Source organism: Homo sapiens, chromosome 4 (genome assembly GCF_000001405.40).
Source record: "Homo sapiens chromosome 4, GRCh38.p14 Primary Assembly".
NCBI classification, from domain to species: Eukaryota; Metazoa; Chordata; class Mammalia; order Primates; family Hominidae; genus Homo; species Homo sapiens.
Window position 1 is genome coordinate 138,881,395 of NC_000004.12, and position 19,360 is coordinate 138,900,754.

Here is a 19,360-nt window from a genome sequence, read left to right on the forward strand (position 1 = left end):
CATTAGGTATATCTCCTAATGCTATCCCTCCCCCCTCCCCCCACCCCACAACAGTCCCCACAGTGTGATGTTCCCCTTCCTGTGTCCATGTGTTCTCATTGTTCAATTCCCACCTATGAGTGAGAACATGCAGTGTTTGGTTTTTTTGTCCTTGCAATAGTTTACTGAGAATGATGATTTCCAGTTTCATCCATGTCCCTACAAAGGACATGAACTCATCATTTTTTATGGCTGCATAGTATTCCATGGTATATATGTGCCACATTTTCTTAATCCAGTCTATCATTGTTGGACATTTGGGTTGGTTCCAAGTCTTTGCTATTGTGAATAGTGCTGCAATAAACATATGTGTGCATGTGTCTTTATAGCAGCATGATTTATAGTCCTTTGGGTATATACCCAGTAATGGGATGGATGGGTCAAATGGTATTTCTAGTTCTAGATCCCTGAGGAATCGCCACACTGACTTCCACAATGGTTGAACTAGTTTACAGTCCCACCAACAGTGTAAAAGTGTTCCTATTTCTCCACATCCTCTCCAGCACCTGTTGTTTCCTGACTTTTTAATGATTGCCATTCTAACTGGTGTGAGATGATATCTCATAGTGGTTTTGATTTGCATTTCTCTGATGGCCAGTGATGATGAGCATTTTTTCATGTGTTTTTTGGCTGCATAAATGTCTTCTTTTGAGAAGTGGCTGTTCATGTCCTTTGCCCACTTTTTGATGGGGTTGTTTGTTTTTTTCTTGTAAATTTGTTTGAGTTCATTGTAGATTCTGGATATTAGCCCTTGTCAGATGAGTAGGTTGCAAAAATGTTCTCCCATTTTGTAGGCTGCCTGTTCACTCTGATGGTAGTTTCTTTTGCTGTGCAGAAGCTCTTTAGTTTAATTAGGTCCCATTTGTCAATTTTGGCTTTTGTTGCCATTGCTTTTGGTGTTTTAGACATGAAGTCCTTGCCCATGCCTATGTCCTGAATGGTAATGCCTAGGTTTTCTTCTAGGGTTTTTATGGTTTCAGGTCTAACGTTTAAGTCTTTAATCCATCTTGAATTAATTTTTGTATAAGGTGTAAGGAAGGGATCCAGTTTCAGCTTTCTACATATGGCTAGCCAGTTTTCCCAGCACCATTTATTAAATAGGGAATCCTTTCCCCATTGCTTGTTTTTCTCAGGTTTGTCAAAGATCAGATAGTTGTAGATATGCGGCATTATTTCTGAGGGCTCTGTTCTGTTCCATTGATCTATATCTCTGTTTTGGTACCAGTACCATGCTGTTTTGGTTACCGTAGCCATGTAGTATAGTTTGAAGTCAGGTAGCGTGATGCCTCCAGCTTTGTTCTTTTGGCTTAGGATTGACTTGGAGATGCGGGCTCTTTTTTGGTTCCATATGAACTTTAAAGTAGTTTTTTCCAATTCTGTGAAGAAAGTCATTGGTAGCTTGATGGGGATGGCATTGAATCTATAAATTACCTTGGGCAGTATGGCCATTTTCACGATATTGATTCTTCCTACCCATGAGCATGGAATGTTCTTCCATTTGTTCATATCCTCTTTTATTTCATTGAGCAGTGGTTTATAGTTCTTCTTGAAGAGGTCCTTCATGTCCCTTGTAAGTTGGATTCCTAGGTATTTTATTCTCTTTGAAGCAATTGTGAATGGGAGTTCACTCATGATTTGGCTCTCTGTCTGTTATTTGTGTATAGGAATGCTTGTGATTTTTGTACACTGATTTTGTATCCTGAGACTTTGCTGAAGTTGCTTATCAGCTTAAGGAGATTTTGGGCTGAGACAATGGAGTATTCTAGATATACAATCATGTCATCTGCAAACAGGGACAACTTGACTTCCTCTTTTCTTAATTGAATACCCTTTATTTCCTTCTCCTGCCTAATTGCCCTGGCCAGAACTTCCAACTCTATGTTGAATAGGAGTGGTGAGAGAGAGCATCCCTGTCTTGTGCCAGTTTTCAAAGGGAATGCTTCCAGTTTTTGCCCATTCAGTATGATATTGGCTGTGGGTTTGTCATAGATAGCTCTTATTATTTTGAGATACGTCCCATCAATACCTAATTTATTGAGAGTTTTTAGCATGAAGGTTGTTGAATTCTGTCAAAGGCCTTTTCTGCATCTATTGAGATAATCATGTGGTTTTTGTCTTTGGTTCTGTTTATATGCTGGATTACATTTATTGATTTGCATATATTGAACCAGACTTGCATCCCAGGGATGAAGCCCACTTGATCATGGTGGATAAGCTTTTTGATGTGCTGCTGCATTTGGTTTGCCAGTATTTTATTGGGGATTTTTGCATCAATGTTCATCAAAGATATTGGTCTAAAATTCTCTTTTTTGGTTGTGTCTCTGCCCGGCTTTGGTATCAGGATGATGCTGGCCTCATAAAATGAGTTAGGGAGGATTCCCTCTTTTTCTATTCATTGGAATAGTTTCAGAAGGAATGGTACCAGTTCCTCCTTGTACCTCTGGTAGAATTCAGCTGTGAATCCATCTGGTCCTGGACTCTTTTTGGTTGGTAAGCTATTGATTATTGCCACAATTTCAGATCCTGTTATTGGTCTATTCAGAGATTCAACTTCTTCCTGGTTTAGTCTTGGGAGGGTGTATGTGTCGAGGAATTTATCCATTTCTTCTAGATTTTCTAGTTTATTTGCATAGAGGTGTTTGTAGTATTCTCTGATGGTAGTTTGTATTTCTGTGGGATCGGTGGTGATATCCCCTTTATCATTTTTTATTGCATCTATTTGATTCTTCTCTCTTTTCTTCTTTATTAGTCTTGCTAGTGGTCTATCAATTTTGTTGATCCCTTCAAAAAAACCAGCTCCTGGATTCATTAATTTTTTGAAGGGTTTTTTGTGTCTCTATTTCCTTCAGTTCTGCTCTGATTTTAGTTATTTCTTGCCTTCTGCCAGCTTTTGAATGTGTTTGCTCTTGCTTTTCTAGTTCCTTTAATTGTGATGTTAGGGTGTGAATTTTGGATCTTTCCTGCTTTCTCTTGTGGGCATTTAGTGCCATAAATTTCCCTCTACACACGGCTTTGAATGTGTCCCAGAGATTCTGGTATGTTGTGTCTTTGTTCTTGTTGGTTTCAAAGAACATCTTTATTTCTGCCTTCATTTCGTTATGTACCCAGTAGTCATTCAGGAGCAGGTTGTTCAGTTTCCATGTAGTTGAGCGGTTTTGAGTGAGTTTCTTAATCCTGAGTTCTAGTTTGATTGCACTGTGGTCTGAGAGACAGTTTGTTATAACTTCTGTTCTTTTACATTTGCTGAGGAGAGCTTTACTTCCAAGTATGTGGTCAATTTTGGAATAGGTGTGGTGTGGTGTTGAAAAAAATGTATATTCTGTTGATTTGTGGTGGAGAGTTCTGTAGATGTCTATTAGGTCCGCTTGGTGCAGAGCTGAGTTCAATTCCTGGGTATCCTTGTTGACTTTCTGTCTCGTTGATCTGTCTAATGTTGACAGTGGGGTGTTAAAGTCTCCCATCATTATTGTGTGGGAGTCTAAGTCTCTTTGTAGGTCACTCAGGACTTGCTTTATGAATCTGGGCGCTCCTGTATTGGGTGCATATATATTTAGGATAGTTAGCTCTTCTTGTTGAATTGATCCTTTTACCATTATGTAATGGCCTTCTTTGTCTCTTTTGATCTTTGTTGGTTTAAAGTCTGTTTTATCAGAGACTAGGATTGCAACCCCTGCCTTTTTTTGTTTTCCATTTGCTTGGTAGATCTTCCTCCATCCTTTTATTTTGAGCCTATGTGTGTCTCTGCACATGAGATGGGTTTCCTGAATACAGCACACTGGTGGGTCTTGACTCTTTATCCAATTTGCCAGTCTGTGTCTTTTAATTGGAGCATTTAGTCCATTTACATGTAAAGTTAATAGTGTTATGTGTGAATTTGATCCTGTCATTATGATGTTAGCTGGTTATTTTGCTCGTTAGTTGATGCAATTTCTTCCTAGCATCGATGGTCTTTACACTTTGGCATGATTTTGCAGCGGCTGGTACCGGTTGTTCCTTTCCATGTTTAGTGCTTCCTTCAGGAGCTCTTTTAGGGCAGGCCTGGTGGTGACAAAATCTCTCAGCATTTGCTTGTCTGTAAAGTATTTTATTTCTCCTTCACTTATGAAGCTTAGTTTGGCTGGATATGAAATTCTGGGTTGAAAATTCTTTTCTTTAAGAATGTTGAATATTGGCCCCCACTCTCTTCTGGCTTGTAGAGTTTCTTCCAAGAGATCCGCTGTTAGTCTGATGGGCTTCCCTTTGTGGGTAACCTGACCTTTCTCTCTGGCTGCCCTTAACATTTTTTCCTTCATTTCAACTTTGGTGAATCTGACAATTATGTGTCTTGGAGTTGCTCTTCTCGAGGAGTATCTTTGTGGTGTTCTCTGTATTTCCTGAATCTGAATGTTGGCCTCCCTTTCTAGATTGGGGAAGTTCTCCTGGATAATATCCTGCAGAGGGTTTTCCAACTTGGTTCCATTCTCCCCGTCACTTTCAGGTACACCAATCAGTCGTAGATTTGGTCTTTTCACATAGTCCCATATTTCTTGGAGGCTTTGTTCATTTCTTTTTATTCTTTTTTCTCTAAATTTCCCTTCTCGCTTCATTTCATTCATTTCATCTTCCATCACTGATACCCTTTCTTCCAGTTGATCGCATTGGCTCCTGAGGCTTCTGCATTCTTCACGTAGTTCTCGAGCCTTGGTTTTCAGCTCCATCAGCTCCTTTAAGCACTTCTCTGTATTGGTTATTCTAGTTATACATTCGTCTAAATTTTTTTCAAAGTTTTCAACTTCTTTGCCTTTGGTTTGAATTTCCTCCTGTAGCTCGGAGTAGTTTGATTGTCTGAAGCCTTCTTCTCTCAACTCGTCAAAGTCATTCTCCATCCAGCTTTGTTCCGTTGCAGGTGAGGAACTGCGTTCCTTTGGAGGAGGAGAGACGCTCTGTTTTTTAGAGTTTCCAGTTTTTCTGCTCTGTTTTTTCCCCATCTTTGTGGTTTTATCTACTTTTGGTCTTTGATGATGGTGATGTACAGATGGGTTTTTGGTGTGGATGTCCTTTCTGTTTGTTAGTTTGCCTCCTAACAGACAGGACCCTCAGCTGCAGGTCTGTTGGAGTTTGCTAGAGGTCCACTCCAGACCCTGTTTGCCTGGGTATCAGCAGCGGTGTCTGCAGAACAGTGGATTTTCGTGAACCCCAAATGCTGCTCTCTGATCGTTCCTCTGGAAGTTTTGTCTCAGAGGAGTACTCGGCCGTGTGAGGTGTCAGTCTGCCCCTACTGGGGGGGGTGCCTCCCAGTTAGGCTGCTCGGGGGTCAGGGGTCAGGGACCCACTTGAGGAGGCAGTCTGCCTGTTCTCAGATCTCCAGCTGCATGCTGGTAGAACCACTGCTCTCTTCAAAGCTGTCAGACAGGGACATTTAAGTCTGCAGAGGTTACTGCTGTCTTTTTGTTTGTCTGTGCCCTGCCCCCAGAGGTGGAGCCTACAGAGGCAGGCAGGCCTCCTTGAGCTGTGGTGGGCTCCACCCAGTTCGAGCTTCCTGGCTGCTTTGTTTACCTAAGCAAGCCTGGGCAATGGCGGGTGCCCCTCCCCCAGCCTCACTGTCGCCTTGCAGTTTGATCTCACACTGCTGTGCTAGCAATCAGTGAGACTCCGTGGGTGTAGGACCCTCCGAGCCAGGTGTGGGATATAATCTCCTGGTGCGCCATTTTTTTAAGCCTGTCGGAAAAGCGCAGTGTTCGGGTGGGAGTTACCCAATTTTCCAGGTGCCGTCTGTCACCCCTTTCTTTGACTAGGAAAGGGAACTGCCTGACCCCTTGCGCTTCCCAAGTGAGGCAATGCCTTGCCCTGCTTCGGCTCGCGCATGGTGCACTGCACCAACTGTCCTGCGCCCACTGTCTGGCACTCCCTAGTGAGATGAACCTGGTTCCTCAGATGGAAATGCAGAAATCACCCGTCTTCTGTGTCGCTCACACTGGGAGCTGTAGACCGGAGCTGTTCCTATTTGGCCATCTTGGCTCCTCCCCCTCTAAACAGGCAATCTCAGGTATTTCTTCACAGCAGTGCAAGAATGGCCTAATACAGGCCCCAACTCCAAATACCATTGCATTGGGGATTGGAATTTCTTGAATTTTGGAGAGGCAAAAACATTCAGTCCATGCGTACATAACCTGTGAACAGATTCCATGGTCTTTCAGAAGTTTTCCCTAGGGAGTATCACAGTTAAGGACTAGGAAAGGCCATTGGCCAATGCTGATGTGAAGTGGTCCAATCAGGGGAAAGAAAGCAGAGGAGAGGGCCTCAGCCTGCCCTAGACAGAACTGCAAAGTGTGGGGAGTTTATTCCAAATCCTCCCATCCTTGGACAGCATTCCTTCTCCTACAGAGAAACCCAGGGTCCCCCATCACCTGAAAACTACTGTTTTATTTCCTCTCGGCTATGGGCTAAATGTTTGTGTCACACAAAAGTCATATGTTGAAATCCTAATCCCCAATGTGATGGCATTTGGAGATAGAAGCTTTGGAGGTAATTTATGAGGGTAGAACCCTCCGGATGCAACTAGTGCCCATATAAGAAAACACTGAAGAGAGCTTGTGTCATCCCTTTCTCTCCCCGCCGTGTGAGGAAGTCAGGAAGAGGGCCCTCACCAGAACCCTATGACGCTGGCATCCTGATTTCGGATTCCAGTCTCCAGAACTGTAAGAGATAAAGTGTGTTGTTGGCTGGGCACGGTGGCTCACACCTGTAATCCCAGCACTTTGGGAGGCCGAGGCGGGCAGATCACGAGGTCAGGAGTTCGAAACCAGCCTGGCCAACACGGTGAAACCCCATCTCTACTAAAAAATACAAAAAATTAGCTGGGCATGGTGGCACACGCCTGTAGTCCCAGCAACTCGGGAGGCTGAGGCAGGAGAATTGCTTGAACCCGGGAGGTGGAAGTTGCAGTGAGCCGAGATCTTGCCACTGCACTCCAGCCTGGGCAACAGAGTGAGACTCCGTCTCAAAAAAAAAAAAGCAAAAAAAAAAAAAATTGTGTTGTTTACGTCACCCACTCTATGATATTTTGTTATAGCAGCCCAAACTAAGATAACTCCTCAACTTAAAAATAAACTCATTTGCTTATCCAGTACACAGGTCCTTATACCCCCACCACCACTACCACCACTCCATACAGAAACCCAGGGTTTTTCTGGTAAATGTTCTACAAGCCGTTCTCCAAAAAACAATACAGCCCTGATTTGTAGGATTTGCCATTTCCATGATGCAAATGCTCTCATGGCTAATTTCAAGCTACCAGTGTGACATCACTGAAGGCAGAGGGAGGAAAAAATGTACAGTGGCATTTCTACCGCACAGTACAATAGTCATAAACAGCCTCGAGGCACAGACCATCATAAAATGTGTAACATTAATAGGAAATGATGAGCTTTCAATATTTACTAAACTTTGTTTCCAATATAATTTAATTATAAATTTATATAATTTAATTCTTAATAACAATAGCTATGTTTAACAACCAGCTCCTGAATTTCCTGAAAATTTAATAACGGGCTCTCTTCAGCCTGTATGGACTGACCACTGCAAACAACTGTCCATCCCATCTACTCCCTACCCAGGTCCTGCTTCTGGTTTGCTAATGTAGCTGCTAATTGGTGGCATTTTTATGAGACCCAAAGTAGTCACTGCAATGGTTGAATTTCAGGCAACTTTGCAGATTGATGAAGTAGATGTTTCTTGAGCTCCTCTCAAATTATGTGTTTTTCAGTAGTGGACTCTGCCACCAGATAGACAATGGCCTCAGGCAGTGTGCCATTTTGTGGTTGCTACCCCTGCATGTCACATAAGCTGGTGCGCATACCCACAAACTCAACGTGACCCCCAAATACAATAAAAACTGAAAAATCCAGCCAACCACTTGCTTTGGCTGCACAATGCCAAAAGACTGATATAACTAAACTATTGTTCTCCTCTGAATTGACTGAGTATGTTAATGTTGTATAGACAAGGCTGTATTCCTCAAAACAGCCATGCACATAACACCTATCAAGCTCTTTCAGAAAAAGTCTCACATAGTCTTGAAATAGGAGAGGGAAAAAGCAAGCTGCCTGCTCTGCTCAAACGCCCTTGACTAGAGGTTTAACTTCCTCACTCTTCTTTCCAAGCACACAGTATTTGAAAAAAAGGACAGCAGAGCCTGCAAATCCTCTCATCAAAGAGGCATTGACTTTTAATTTTACAAATGTGGCTCTTTCCCATAAGGAATAGAGAGAATTCATTAGTAATCATACTCCAGAGACTTATTCCTTCTGCATGTTTCTTTCTTCTGGCTATCATATAATTACACCCCAGATCTCTGATTACAGAAACTTTTCCCCTTAACTGCTATATAATTTTAGAATCTCTCTTTTTCTATTCCCTTCTTTTCCAGTAGGTCTTTAAAAAGAGAGGAAACAGGAAATTGGCAAAGATAGTATGTGAGTAGTTACCAGTGCAGTTAGGCCTTCATTCCTGGAGTCTCTGTATCTATAGGTGAAAGCAAAGGATAGGAGCACTGTGCTAATGAGATAAAAAGCGTCCCCAGAAAACAGCTCTAATGTGCCTACTTCTTGCAGTGGGGCAGAAGCCATCTAAATGCGACCCTCACATACAAATAAAAGACACACTGGAAGGAAGTTCATTTAAAACATGAGATGCTACATAGACCTGTTAATTGCCACATAATACCAGACATGTAAATAACTTCACATGGGCCCGGTGCAGTGGCTCACGCCTGTAATCCCAGCACTTTGGGAGGCAGAGGCAGTGCAGATCACCTGAGATCAGGAGTTCGAGACCAGCCTGACCAACATGGAGAAACTCCTGTCTCTACTAAAAATACAAAAATTAGCCGGGTGTGGTAGCACACGCCTGTAATCCCAGTTACTTGGGAGGCTGAGGCGGGAGAATCACTTGAACCCGGGAAGGGGGAGGTTGCAGTGAGCTGAGATCACAACATTGTACTCCAACCTGGGCAACAGAGTGAGACTCCGTCAAAAAAAAAAAAAAAAAAAAAAAAAAAAAAAAAAAAAAAAACCTTCACATTTCACAACCTGCCCTCAGCACTGTTTTACCACCTGCTGAAAATGCAAAAAGAAAGGATATGATGTGAATCAGCAGCCTTATGATTGGCCTTATGGAAATCCTTCCTCTGTTCTCATGGAAGCAAGGCCATTGCCAAAGCCACTCTCTGTGGGAAAGTGCGCCCAGTATGGGTGTTCAGTCGTGGACTCTGCTACCAGATGGATGATGGCCTCATGCAGTGGCAAACCATTGTGCCTCACGGGGTGCCAAACCATTGTACAGTGATAGGCCCAGGTGTGTGAAACAGGGAATGAGTGCTAATTGAAGAAAAAGCAGCCTCTGACGAGGGCTCCTATCTGCCCGCAGCAAATGCCTAGCTCTGCTCCTTGGAAGAACAACAGAACATCTGAGCAGTTGCAGTCTCTCTCCTATGCACACACACTTATCATTTCTTATTTTCAAAAAGAAAATTTCTCCTTAGCTTTTTGTTATTAGTCTCCAGTGATGAACAATAGGTGGGAAATTCTGAGAAAATAAACTGCTGAAATTATTATTCACTCCTTGCTCCAGATTGCTCTGCGAGCTACGGATTGCACGTTCTGCATTCGGTGACTAAGGCCTCGTCCCATGTGTTTTCCCAGTTCAATCAACTGTGCTAAGAACTGTCACAATAGCCCTTGACGACAAGAAAATAAAATTTAGGGTAGAATGGAGAGCCTGACTTGCATTGTAATTCTGGTCTGCACCTGTTTTTTTCCCCCTGGTTGACAATGTTTGCGAACCTTTTCATCCACCTTAATGACAAAAGAAAAGGAATGGGTTATTTTTCCAGTTTGGATAATTGCTTCTGAAACGTTGTCACAATCTTCCAAATGACAATATTTCCTTCATGTCAGACGACTGTGATTTCCGGGCAGCACGGGTTGCGGTTTTGTTAGGGTTCTGGTCTGCTGCGAGCCTTGGGAGTTTTGTTTTGTTTTTTGTTTTAGGTTTTTTTCTCTTTTTTTAAGAAAAAGACAAAGCAAAACCAAGTAAGTCACAATGATAACTTATGACAGAAAAATCAACATCTGAATCGAATGATAATAGCAGGAGCCTGCAGTCAGGAGAGGAAGTGTCTTGTGCCAAGAAAAAAAAAAGGCACAGAAAGTTATTTAAAACTGATAAAACCCACCAGGAGTCACAATCCCATCATGGTTTCCCTTTGGAAAAGAAGTTTTCAGAAGCCCCAATTAACCTTAATTGAATTCTGCCTTAGTAATATCTGGAATTTTAATTGACTGGGAAGGTGATCATAAATCTATGTTCATAATGCGGCTTAGCCATTAGTAAATCCCCGGATGGCACACAGCCTTGTCATGCGAGGGACTTAGCTATTCTGTGGGTGAGGCTGGGTTTTAGATCATAAAACAAACATTCAAAAGAGAAAGCCCCTCACTGTCAGAGCCAGCCTGAGAGCAGCTACAGTGTAGTGTAGTGCAGAGCAGAAGAGAACGATCAATTCCAGTGAAATAAAGGTTCATGTTTGTGGTGTCATCGTCATTGAGTTCCTAAAACGTAAACAGAAGCACCATCTCCCATGCCCTCCAGAAAGAAATCATCCTTCCAATCATTTAGAATAAGCATAGGACTGTTTAGATTTTCTCTTTTAGAAAATCAACCACCAATTCACTCCTTTGTTATTAAAACTGCTGAGGCCAGGGAGATATTTCAGGTCTTTCAAATTGCCTGAATGTGACTATTTTAACTAGAAGGTTCTCAGTTAGGGTTGAGGGGCCTCTCAGAATGACCTAGATGCTTTTTCAGAACCCCAAGCGTGAAATCAAACTGAGGAAAGGGGCCCTGGTATATGCATTTTGAAAGAAAAAAAAAATGTCCTGGTAGTTTCTGAATTGGAGTTCCTTCCTATCCCCCAAACCCACCACTTCAGGTTGAAAAACCATGACTTTAGTCAAATTGACAGGCCACCTCTGTCAAACAATCAGGCTGATTGATTTTCATTTCACAAAATTGAATGGATATTTGAATTAACTAAGATCACCAGTTATTTTGAAATCGTCTAAAAATAGTTTGGATATGATTTGACATGGCAGGAGAAACTGTGACTCAGATCAGCTCCTCTTTCATTCCTCCCCATTTTCGCCCACACTTTCTGATCCTTCTACCACAATCAGAGAAAAATCAGGGCATCTCCCCCATATAATGCATTTCTTACTTTTGTTGCTTTCATTCAAACTTTGCCTAACACTGCCAACAGAAACCATTAAAACCTCAAGAATTGTCAATGAAAGTAAAGTTCTATATGTTGACCAGGTGGTGAAATGAGTCAAAAGATGAATTTAAAGGGTCCTGGGCTGGGCACTGTGGCTCACGCCTGTAATCCTAGCACTTTCGGAGGCCAAGGTGGGAGGATCACCTGAGATCGGGAGCCCGAGACCAGCCTGACCAACATGGAGAAACCCCATCTCTACTAATAATACAAAATTAGCCGGATGTGGTGGCACATGCCTATAATCCCAGCTACTCAGGAGGCTGAGGCAGGAGAATCGCTTGAAACCGGGAGGCCAAGGGTGCGGTGAGCCGAGATCGCGCTATTGCAGTCCAGCCTGGGCAACTAGAGTGAAACACTGTCTAAAAAAAAAAAAAAATCCTGGTGGGGGCACAGGGAAAATTAGTCACTCTCCTAAAGATCCCCAACACTGTCTGTTTTTACATGAACCCTATTTCCTTCAGCACTCCTGAGTTGCTCATGGTGAAATTGGTCAGAAATAAACTATGGAAACTGGCACTATGCAAATTCAGACAAAGGAGAAGTCATTTCTTCAGGCTCTAATTCACTTTCAAAGTCATGTGGAGCCCCAGAAGTAGTAAATAAGTCTGAAACAGATAATTGCCTCTTCCTGCACAAATTTTCCTGAAACTTGAAAACTTGAAATTTTACCAAAACTTAAAAACTTGAAAGAAAATGAAATAATAGTTGTAGACATTGCCCTTTAATAATTTTATAAATCCTCTCCTATATTTTTCTTATCTACCTCAACTTTTCTCTCTCTCTTTCCTCTCTCTGTCTTGTATAAACATTTTGAAGCCTTCTCACCCAAACCACACTTTTTAGGAATCACACTAAGAAAAGGGAGAGCATAGCATCTGCATCTGGTGCCTTCTCGCTACATCATAACATCATGAAGGGCATTATATAGCAAGAGGACAAGCACATGCGTGTCAGCTCAGGTCTCTTTTCCTCTTCTTATAAAGCCGCCAGCCTCATCATGAGGTCCCTACCCTGATTACCTTATCTAATCCTAATTACCTCCCGAAGATCCCACTCCAATCAACATATGAATTTGGGGATTAAATTTCCAACACATGAAATTTGGGGGACATATTCAAACCATAGCAAATATCAAAGAAAACAGAGGAAATTACATGAGTAAATCTAGCATTTATATGGCACAAGTGTGGGAGGTTGGCATTAGTACATCAATAATTATTCACCAGTTGGCCTGTTTTAGGAAATGTTTCTGATTACCTGTAATGAAGGGCAAATCCAAGAGCAAGGTCAGAGAAGAGAAATAAATAGATTATTTCAGAATCAATCTTTAAGATTTAAGCCAATGTTTTCAAAGTATGATCAGTGAAGTACCAGTATCATAACTATCTTGGGTTATTATCAGTGTAGATTCCTGAGCCCCACCCTTGACTTACTAAATCACATCACTGAGAATGAGGCCCAAGAATGTACATTTTACAAGTTACTCAGAGTATACTTATGCTCATTAGAGGTGGAAATCACTGAGTTGGGCAATAATAATTATCACTTATGGGTAACTTTCTTATCAAAATAAGTTAGTGATAGAGATATCTGAACATTGAACTCAGGAAAAAAAAATTTTCCTGGATCAATCATTGAGTTGACAAACTAAGTTAGACTTGCTATTTTGTTCTGTTGTTAAAATAAGAAGAAATGAATTTAAGCCCTTCAGGACTGGAAAGCAAAGTGTTTGCAGTGGAATGGCAGAATAACTTCTTTGGATCTGTTATAAGACTGGGAAAGCCACAGTTGATGATATTGACCAGAGGTCCATCAAGTGACATGGTGAATCAGTTGGCTTTTGCTACATAGCAAACCACCCCAAAATGTGGTGGCCTGAAATACTAATCATTTATTTGTTCATGATTCTGAGCAATTTGGGTGGTTTTTTTTGTTTTGGCCTGGCTCAGATGAAGATTAGTGGTCTGGGATGGCCTCACTCACATGTCAGGAGACTCAGCTGAGCCTGGCTTGTCTCTACTCCTCAGGTTCTCCTTCAGCAGCCTAGCCTGAGCTTTCTTACATGAGGTCCACACTTCAAGGCAGCAAGTGGGAACACGCCACACCTTTCAAGGAGCAGGCTTAGAACTTGTACAACATTGCTTCCACCACATTATGTATTGGTCAAGGACAGCACAAATCCAAAGAATGGGGAAGTAGGCTGTGTCTCCTAGTGAAAGGAGAAGCAAAGAACTTGTAGACACTTGAAATTATACTTCATAGAGTGCACAGGCAGAGATATGAGGAAATCTTGAAGCACAGATGGTTCTGAAAATAAAATCAAAGTGGATGCTACATTTGTGCCCCCTACACCCACACTTAGCAATGTGCTGGCAGCATGGCCTCCCTTTACCTAATAACTCTTATTCTCCTCACATCCTTTTCAATCGCATATCTCTCTCCTTTTCTTGTATTCTCCTTTTCTTTTCAAAAACAATAAAGCCTCTTAATATTGTTAATATTATCAAGACTGGAAAAAATATTAATCGTGACACATTTTCCAAAATCATCCAGCCTCAAAATTTCTGAGTCCACTGTAACTTGTCTCTCTCCCTTTCCCCTCACAATTGGTCATCGCCAAGGCTGGGCGCAGTGGCTCACGCCTGCAATCCCAACACTTTGGGAGGCCAAGGCAGGCGGATCACAAGGTCAGGAGTTCGAGATCAGCCTGAACAACATGGTGAAACCTCATCTCTACTAAAAATACAAAAATTAGCCGGACGTGATGGCACACACCTGAAATCCCAGCTACTCCGGAGGCTGAGGCAGGAAAATCGCTTGAACCCAGGAGGCGGAGGTTGCAGTGAGCTGAGATCGTGCCCCTGCACTCCAGCCTGGGGAACAGAGCAAGACTCCATCTCAAAAAAAAAAAAAAAAAAAAATTGGTCATTGCCTAGCCCGTGGATACTATCTTTGCAATACTGTTATGTCCCCAGAGCATGTCCCCTGCTGTGTACTCATACCATCAACATCCTTACTTAGGCTCTCACTATTTCTCTACCCACCATTTACTAGTTACAGGTCATTGGTAACTTCCTTTAGGTTTCTATGCTCCCTGTTTCCTAATCTGTAAAATGGGAACAATAATGTACTTATCTGTCAGAGATGTAGTGAAGATTAAATGAGATATTCTGTATGAAGTATGTAGCACAGAGCCTAGCACATTAGCAAATGCTCATTGACCATAACCTGTTAGAGTCACCCTGCCATAATTCATCTTTCCTGTTTACCTGATTGTTTCTCCTATTCAAAAAACATCAATGAGTCCCCCAAAGCCCTTGAAAATAAATTCCTCAAGCTGATATTTAAGGCCTTTCATATCTGACCCTATCGTACCTTTCCATTCTTGCTTTTCTCTTCAAAATGCCCTATTCTTTTGATGAAGACCCTCACACTTTCCCCCTAATTCACACTCAACCTTCAAACATACACCCACACTCAATCACCAACTGCCCACTCAGACTGTCTTAGCCCATTTTGTGCTACTAAAACAGAATACCACAAACTGGGTAATTAATAATAAACAGGAGTTTATTCCTCACAGTTCTGAAGGCTGGGAAATCCAAGATCAAGGTAGCAGCAGGTTTGGTGTCTGGTGAAGGCCCAGTGTCTGCATCCAAGAGAGTGCCTTGAACACTGCATCCTGCAGTGTCCTCACACGGCAGAAGGCTGAAGCAGGGAACCCATTCCCAGAAGCTCTTTTTTTTTTTTTTTTGAGACGGAGTCTTGCTCTGTCGCCCAGGCTGGAGTGCAGTGGCGCCATCTCAGCTCACTGGAAGCTCCGCCTCCCGGGTTCCCGCCACTCTCCTGCCTCAGCCTCGTGAGTAGCTGGGACCATAGGCGCCCGCTACCACGCCCGGCTAATTTTTTGTATTTTTAGTAGAGATGGGGTTTCCCCGTGTTAGCCAGGATGGTCTCAATCTCCTGACCTCGTGATTCGCCCGCCTCGGCCTCCCAAAGTGCTGGGATTATAGGCGTGAGCCACCACGCCCAGCCCCAAAAGCTCTTTTTAATTCAGCATTACTCCATTCAAGAAGGCAGTGTCCTTATGGCCTAAACACCCCATCAGGCCCCACCTCTCAACACTGCTGCATTTGGGATTAAGTTTCAAACATATGGTCTTAAGAGGAGACAAACATTCAAACCATAATAACTAGTGCCCTCAGATACACAACCAATTCACAATCCCTGTCTTAGGGACTTCTGTCACCTCAAAAAAAAAAACAATTCTATTACACATTTTCTCATTCTCCATTCTGCAACTCCGGCATCAGACAATCCTTTCGTCCTTTGAACATCAAAATAATGCTTCTCTTATTGCACTTACACTATGCTCGGTATCACAGTTCTGACTAATCTAACACACTGGAATGCAAGCTCTTAGAACCATGTCTTTTCATCCAATTTACCCAGCTATGTTTGATTCAGTTCCGTGTACATAACAGACCCTCAGTAAACATTTTTGGAATTAAGAGAGAGAACTAACCCCTGCATTATCAGCATATTGAACCCAAACCATATCAGGCTGTAAGGGCTATATTTTGACCCAAAATTTAGCCCCCAACCTGATGTAATAATGCCCCATAATATTACTATGTTCTGTACACTTGTATCAACACACAAACATGTACAATTCACTGCCTCAACCTCTTTCCATATATTGTTGAAGAATTCATGGGAGCAAGAGGTTCTCAAAGGTCTCATTCACTCCTGATTTTTTGTCCCTTTTCACAGGACCTGTGGGTATATCATCTCTGACTGGTAGTATTTTAAATTTACCCAGTGGTATTTAAATTTATCTGATAGCATTTTAAATTGATCTAATTTATTTAATTTACTTAGTCTAATTAAACATCATCTCCACCTGATGTTATTTAACTTCACCTAATGGTATTTTAAATTTATCACAGTCTAGAAGTTAATCAGAATCAATAAAATTGGTTTAGGGCAGTGCTTCTCAAAGTGTTGTCCCTGGACCAGCAACAGCATCAGGATACTTGGGAGAAATACAAATTCTCAGAATCAAACCCAAACCTACTGAATCAGAAACTCAGGGAGTGCCTGGCCAGCTTTCATTTTCACAAACCCTGCAGGTGAGTCAGATGCATGCTTGTTTGAGAACCACTGGTGAAGGGATTGAGTGAAATTGTTTCTGGACAAATAAACTGGTAACACAGATGGGAGATAAGAAATTTTTTGATGAAAATGAACTATCCCTGGGTTGTGGTTTGCATAGATTTGCAGGAGACCAGCCGAGATAGCAGATGAATGTAGTGGCTGAGACCTAATTCTCTGATTGGCCAAGGTACAAGATACGCATCTGTTTACTCTGGAACTAAGAGGATAGGGAATGTGTCATAATGTGACACTGTCAGCACACAGAGTTATTTTTAGAGCTAGGTTTTTGCTTCACAAGTAGAAGAAGGATTTAGAATACACTCAGAAGAATACAGTATATAAATGTCTTCCAATTGTGGGTTTTCCCTTCACAATGGTAAATTCAGAAATAAAAAGAGCCGAGTGATTGATTGCACAGTGGCTCACGTAACAGTGGAGACAGCCAGCCTCACCTGCAAGTATTCAAGCATGTTAATTGGTGCCTAGGTGGCTCAGGAGCCTCACCTGATCTGAGATGGCTGCTGGTGGCACACACACTCTCATGTGCAATAGGATTACTTAATTAACCTCTACAACACCAAAGGGCCAAGGCACCCCAGAGCCACTTTTTTGCTGCATAACTACTTCTTATCTTCATTAAGTCTAGTGACAGCTTTCCTAACAGTAGGAAATCATGCCTTAGCCTATGCTTGATGACTCATTACTAAGCCAAGTTAAGCAAAATCTGTGGCTTTCCAAAAAATACAGTAGGGACTGGTAAAAGTTTAAAAATTCATTCTATACAGAGTGCTATTGGCTAAGTTCCTTAATCAAAGGATTTTTCGTGATTTCTTGGAGAATCAAATTGGCTGCGGAGATTTAGCTATCTATTTTAGAGATGTGTAGGAGACATTCGGCAAGAAAGAGTAAGCATAAGAAGATTCAAGGAACTTGCAGGGAGCAAGAATTTTGCACCTACGTTTTCAAAAATCAAGATGTAAGTGAGTACGGTCAGGTCTACAATTGGGAGTCAAAGTGGAGCTCAAATCACAAGTAGCTATATAGGCCAGGTGCGGTGGCTCATGCTTATAATCCTAACACTTTGGGAGAGCAAGGTGGGAAGATCACTTGAGGCTAAGAGTTCAAGACCAGCCTGGGCAAAATAGAAAAACCATGTCTCTACAAAAAATAAGTAAATAAATTTAATTAGCCAGGCATTGTGGCATAGCCCTGTAGTTCCAGCTACTCAGGAGGCTGAGGCAGGAAGATCACTTGAGCTCAGCAGTTCAAGGTTATAGTGAGCTATGATCGCACCACTGCACTCCAGCCTGGGCAACAGAGTGAGACACTGTCTCTAAAATAAAGATGAAAAAGTAGCTATATAAAATTATGAATTATAAAGCATTGTAGAGAAAACTCTATGACTATCAGAAAATTATTAAATATATTATGTTCAGCATCCAATGTAGATTCTATCTGGCACCAGACACTATAGAGAGCGACATTCATTGACAAGTAGCTTGACGTAACTTTGGATCCTAGGGTCCCAGTAATTTTAGGAAGAACTGATTTTATAATGTTCTCCTCCCTTCCTCTTTCCCAGTTCCACATCAATTAAAATATAAAACCCAAGAACAAATACATTTTCAGAAAGGGAAGAATCTCTTATCCTTGACAAAGCTACAGAAGAGCTATCAGTACAGTTAAGAACAGTATGAAATCCTGCCTCAGGTTCTCTGCCATCCCTTCTCGCCTTGTGAATTCACAGTGATTTATTCAGTACACAAATATTCAGCCTCTCACAAGTGCTAGATAAACGCTGTGCTGTTAACTGGGGATACATTCAAGAAGTCTGCAATCAAATGCAGTCGACCAGACTTTCATGAGAATCACCTGAGGCACGTGTTAAACTACCAATATCCAGGCCGCATGCCAAACCTTCTTAATCAGAATCTCTGTGGATGTAATCTTAGAATCTGTGGGCCTCAGAGGCCACCATAGGTATTGAAGCCCACTGATCTGTGTTAATAGGGAAAGTTTATCCCCATTCCTCCAAATTAAGATGGCTTTTCCTTAGCCAAGAGACTAGTTCCATGGAGGGAAAGCTGCATGCATGGTGGTTTCAAGCAAAGGCACCCACCACTTTGGCCTTGCACAAAGACATGCAGTTTTGGCAAAAGCAAACGAACCACTAGGGAAAGGTGCAGACCACTTGGCCTTCAGCTATGGCTGGTGGACATGAGGGAGGTGTCATCAGAAGTGGCACAATTTGCTGCAATTGTACTTAATGTGTGTGTTTAGGTGGGTTGGAAGTTCCCGTGACTCAGCAGAATTTGAAACTGGAGGCAGTAATTTGGGGGCTTTAATTTAAGAATATTCAACTCAAGGGCAAAAGATATTTAGCTCTAATTTTCGTCTTTTGGACTTTAACATATCTGGGCTTGAAATATTAAGATTTAATTATTGAATTTTAATCTCTCCCTGGGAATTTGATAATGGGAGAGATTCTACATCAAACTTTGGCATATCTCTATGTTGTTGGCATTTTATTATTAGATCTTGGCATCTCCTTGCAGATTGTCCAATATGTTATGTTGAACAACAGGACTAGAAGGGAAAGGGGTGCAATTTCTTGGGTCCTCTGTGTCCTCAACAGCTTTGTGGTATAACAGCAGAAACTTGCTAAAGGTTCATCAAGTGCTTGTTCTGACTGGGTCCCCTGACTCTGGCCTAAATGGCATTGGGAGGGGACTGGGACTAGAAAATTTAATAATGCAGTGGTTTTGCAAAACCAAATAGACTTATATCTGGGTCTTAAAAGGCATAGCCCAGGCCAGGTGCAGTGGCTCATGCCTGTAATCCCAGCACATCGGG

The 19,360-nt window shown here is 42.0% G+C and overlaps 1 long non-coding RNA gene across 1 annotated transcript in view, besides 1 other annotated feature; it reads right to left on the reverse strand.

Moving 5' to 3' along the window:
- Positions 1–19,360, reverse strand: part of LOC105377448 (uncharacterized) — a 192,690-nt gene that overhangs the window by 61,438 nt on the left and 111,892 nt on the right. The window lies entirely within an intron of this gene.
- Positions 18,561–18,750: a silencer, noted in NCBI's record as "fragment chr4:139821109-139821298 (GRCh37/hg19 assembly coordinates)". NCBI's record gives its function as "represses an EF-1alpha promoter that drives an FKBP-Casp9 reporter gene in an ReSE screen in phorbol 12-myristate 13-acetate-treated (for megakaryocytic differentiation) K562 erythroleukemia cells {active_cell/tissue: K562(+PMA)}" and the evidence as "EXISTENCE:reporter gene assay evidence [ECO:0000049][PMID:32094911]".